This window comes from Homo sapiens, chromosome 5 (genome assembly GCF_000001405.40).
Source record: "Homo sapiens chromosome 5, GRCh38.p14 Primary Assembly".
Taxonomy (NCBI): Eukaryota; Metazoa; Chordata; class Mammalia; order Primates; family Hominidae; genus Homo; species Homo sapiens.
The window spans coordinates 98,679,039-98,683,839 of NC_000005.10; the positions used below are offsets into that span (position 1 = coordinate 98,679,039).

At 36.9% G+C, this 4,801-nt stretch overlaps 1 pseudogene; it reads left to right on the forward strand.

Moving 5' to 3' along the window:
- DDX18P4 (DEAD-box helicase 18 pseudogene 4) lies at positions 276–2,834 on the forward strand (annotated as a pseudogene).

A 4,801-nucleotide genomic window follows, 5' to 3' on the forward strand; every position in this document is an offset into this window, starting at 1 on the left:
TGAAAGTATATTATATGTAAAATATACTAGAGCCTGTATATTATCTAATCTCTATTTTACTTAACGATTTAGATTTTGTTCTGAAATCCGCTATTCTATTAATGATAACATTATATGGGAATAAATAGAATTTAACATGCCTAGGATAAGTTAAAGATGTGATGACAGACATTGATTATAAGTGGTGTTTAAAAAACATTATGGGCTCATGACATGTTTGAATCCACATAGTAAGAAAGATCTACTACAGGCATTTCCGGTTGGCTGAGCAGCACACGTGCCCCCGGAAGGGAAATAACATCAGCTCGGAGAATTCAGTAGATGTACTGTGTGGCGCCGTGGTCTAGGCACTTCTTGGACAGCATGTCTCACCTGCTGATGAAACTCCTGTGCAAGAAGATTTAGAAGCAGAACCTCAAATTGCGGCAGCGGAACCTAAAGTTGCAGGGGGCCTCAAATCTGACCCTATCAGAAACTCAAAATGGAGATGTGTCTGAAGAAACAATGGGAGATGGAAAGGTTAAAAAATCAAACATTCTATGAATGTGGGCTTATCAGAAGCTCAAAGTGGAGATGTGTCTCAAGAAGCAGTGTAAAATATAAAAGTTAAAAAATCTCCCCAGAAATCCACTGTATTAACCAACGGAGAAACAGCAATGCAGTCTCCCAATCCAGAATCAAAAAAGAAGAAGAAAAAAAGAAAAATGATGAATGATGCTGGGCCTGATACAAAAAAAAAGCAAAAACTGAAAACAAAGGGGAATCTCAAGAAGAAAGTGCCAAGAATCCTAAAGAAACAGAAAATAATGTGGAGAAGCCAGATAATGATGAAGATGACAGTGAGGTGCCCAGCCTGCCCCTGGGACTGACAGGAGCTGTTGAATATACTTCATTTGCTTCTCTGTATAATCTTGTCAATGAAAACACTCTGAAGGCAATAAAAGAAATGAGTTTTACAAATATGACGGAAATTCAGCATAAAAGTATCAGACCACTTCTGGAAAGCAGGGATCGTCTAGCAGCTGCAAAAACAGGAAGTGGTAAAACCCTGGCTTTTCTTATCCCTGCAGTTGAACTCATGGTTAAGTTAAAGTTCATGCCCAGGAATGGAATAGGAGTCCTTATTCTCTCACCTATTGGAGAACTAGCCATGGAAACTTTTGGTGGTTCTTAAGGAGCTAATGACTCACCACGTGCATACCTATGGGTTGATAATGGGTGGGAGTAACAGATCTGCTGAAGCATGGAAACTTGCTAATGGGATCAACATCATTGTGGCCACATCAGGCCGTCTGCTGGACCATATGCAGAATACCCCAGGGTTTATGTATAAAAACCTGCAGTGTCTGGTTATTGATGAAGCTGATCGTATCTTGGATGTTGGGTTTGAAGAGGAGTTAAAGCAAATTATTAAACTTTTGCTAACTCATAGACAGACTATGCTCTTTTCTGCCACCCAAACTCAAAAAGTTGAAGACCTGGCAAGGATTTCTTTGAAAAAGGAGCCGTTTATGTTGGTGATGATGATGATAATGCTAATGAAACAGTGTATGGTCTTGAGCAAGGATATGTTGTTTGTCCTTATGAAAACAGATTCCTTCTGCTCTTTACATTCCTTAAGAACTGAAAGAAGAAGCTTATGGTCTTCTTTTCATCTTGTATGTCCATGAAATACCACTGTGAGTTGCTGAACTACATTTATTTGCTCATCTTGGCCATTCATGAAAAGCAAAAGCAAAGTAAGCATACAACCACATTCTTCCAATTCTCCAGCGCAGATTTGGGAACACTATTGTGCACAGATGTGGCAGCAAGAGGACTGGACATTACTGAAGTGGACTGCATTGTTCAGTATGACCCTCCGGATGACCCTAAGGAATATATTCATAGTGTGGGTAGAACAGCCAGAGGCCTAAATGGGAGAGAAAATTGGGTTTTCTTTGCTACTTGAAACAATCCAAGGTTCCATTAAATGAATTTCACTTTTCCTGGTCTAAAATTTCTGACATTCAGTCTCAACTTGAGAAACTGATTAAAAAGAATTACTTTCTTCATAAGTCAGCCCAGGAAACATGTAAGTCATACATACAAACCTATGATTCCCATTCTCTGAAACAGATCTTTAATGTTAATAACTTAAATTTTTCTCAAGTTGCTCTGTCATTTGGTTTCAAGGTGCCTCCCTTTATTGATCTGAAAGTCAAGAGCAATGAAGGCAAGCAGAAAAAGCAAGGAGGTGGTGGTGGATTTGGCTACCAAAGTTGAGAAGTCCAAAATCTTTAAACACATTAGCAAGAAATCACCTGATAGCAGGCAGTTCTCTAACTGAAGACATGCCATTCTTTCATCTTGAATAACTTTGTTTTAAAATCAATTATTTCCCCTAGATTCATCAGGATTTTTGTAGCCTTTAGAATTTAAACTTATCTAACATGAGTAAAAATTGACTGGGGTTGCAAGCACTGAGCACTGTTACTTATATCAAGTCTCGCTTCTGTATTGGGATATAAAACAGGCTTTAATTTTCTTGGTTGCCCAAGGACTATCTGGGCTTTCTTGTGATTATATAATATTTTAATTTTAAGTATTTCTCCCTCATACACACAAATGTAAGTTACTGTTTTAATATAATTATTTGTGTACTTTTTCTTCTTGTTTTGTGAAGATTTTTGTGGCATGGATTGCTGTGCTTACTGCTGTAAAAGGTGACCCAGTGTACTGGGCAGCTGGTGGTAATGCAGAAAGGAGTCTCAGGTTATTTTTTTGCTTTTAGTTATTTCTTGAACTTTGACAGTGTCTCATGACTCCTCCTGAAAATATTGCTAGCATCATAATGACAGGATCAAATTCACACATAACAATATTAACCTTAAATGTAAATGGGCTAAATGCCCCAATTAAAAGATATAGACTGGCAAATTGGACAAAGAGCCAAGACCCACCAGTGTGCTGTATTTAGGAAATCTCACGTGCACATCTTAAGTGCAAAGACACACATAAGCTCAAAATAAAGGGATGGAGGAATATTTAACAAGCAAATGGAAAGCAAAAAAAAAAAAAAAAAAAAAAAAAAAAAAGCAGGGGTTTCAATCCTAGTCTCTGATAAAACATAATTTAAACCGACAAAGATTAAAAAAAAAAACAAAGAAGGGCACTACATAATGGTAAAGGGATCAATGCAACAAGAAGAGCTAACTATCCTAAATATGTGTGCACCCAATACAGGAGCACCCAGATTCATAAAGCAAGTTCTTAGAGACCCACATAGATACTTAGACTACCAAACAATAATAGTGGGAGACTTTAACCCCCGACTGTCAATATTAGATAGATCAATGAGACAGAAGATTAACAAGGATATTCCAGACTTTAACTCAGCTCTGGACCAAGCAGAACTAATAGACATCTACAGAACTCTCTACTCCAAATAGACAGAATATACATTCTTCTCAGTATCACATTGCACATCTTCTAAAATTGACCACATATTTGGAAGTAAAACACTCCTCAGAAAATGCAAAATAATGGAAATCATAAGAAACAGTCATTCGGACCACAGTGCAATCAAATTAGAACTCAGGATTAAGAAACTCACTCAAAACCACACAACTACATGGAAACTGAATAACTTGCTCCCGAACGACTACTGGGTAAATAACAAAATGAAGGCAGAAATAAATAAGTTCATTGAAACCAGTGAAAACAAAAACACAACATACCAGAAACTCTGGGACACAGCTGAAGCAGTGTTTAGAGGGAAATTTATAGCACTAAATGCCCACAAGAGAAAGCAGGAAAGATCTAAAATTGACACCCTAACATCACAATTAAAAGAACTAGAGAAGCAAAAGCAAATAAATTCAAAAGCTAGCAGAAGGCAAGAAATAACTAAGATCAGAGCAGAACAGAAGGAGACAGAGACATGAAAGACGCTTCAAAAAATCAATGAAACCAGGAGCTGGTTTTCTAAAAAGAACAACAAAATAGTACACCACTAGCCAGACTAATAAAGAAGAAAACAGAGAAGAATCAAATAGAAATAATAAAAAATGATAAAGGGGATATCACCACTGATCCCACAGAAATACAAACTACCATCAGAGAATAGTATAAACATGTATATGCCAATAAACTAGAAAATCTGGAAGAAATGGATAAATTCCTGAACACATACACCCACCCAAGACTAAATAAGAAAGAAGTCGAATCCCTGAATAGACAAATAACAAGTTCTAAAATTGAGGCAGTAATTAATAGCCCATCAAACAAACAAACAAAAAAGCCCAGGACCAGATTGATTCACAGCCTAATTCTACCAGAGGTACAAAGAGGAGCTGGTACCATTCCTTCTGAAACTATTCTAAACAATAGAAAAAGAGGCACTCCTCTCTAACTCATTTTATGAGGCCAGCCTCATCCTGATACAAAAACCTGGCAGAGAAACAACAAAAAAAGAAAATTACAGGCCAATATCCTTGATGAACATTGATGCAAAAATCCTCAATAAAATACTGGCAAACTGAATCCAGCAGCACCTCAAAAAGCTTATCCACTATGATCAAGTCAACTTCATCCCTGGACTGCAAGACTGGTTCAACATATGCAAATCAGTAAATGTAATCCATCACATAAACAGAACCAACAACAAAAACCACATGATTATTTCAATAAATGCAGAAAAGGCCTTCAATAAATTTCAACAGCTCTTCATGCTAAAAACTCTCAATAAACTACATATTGATGGAATATCTCTCAAAATAATAAGAACTATTAATGACAAAGCCACAGCCAATAACATACT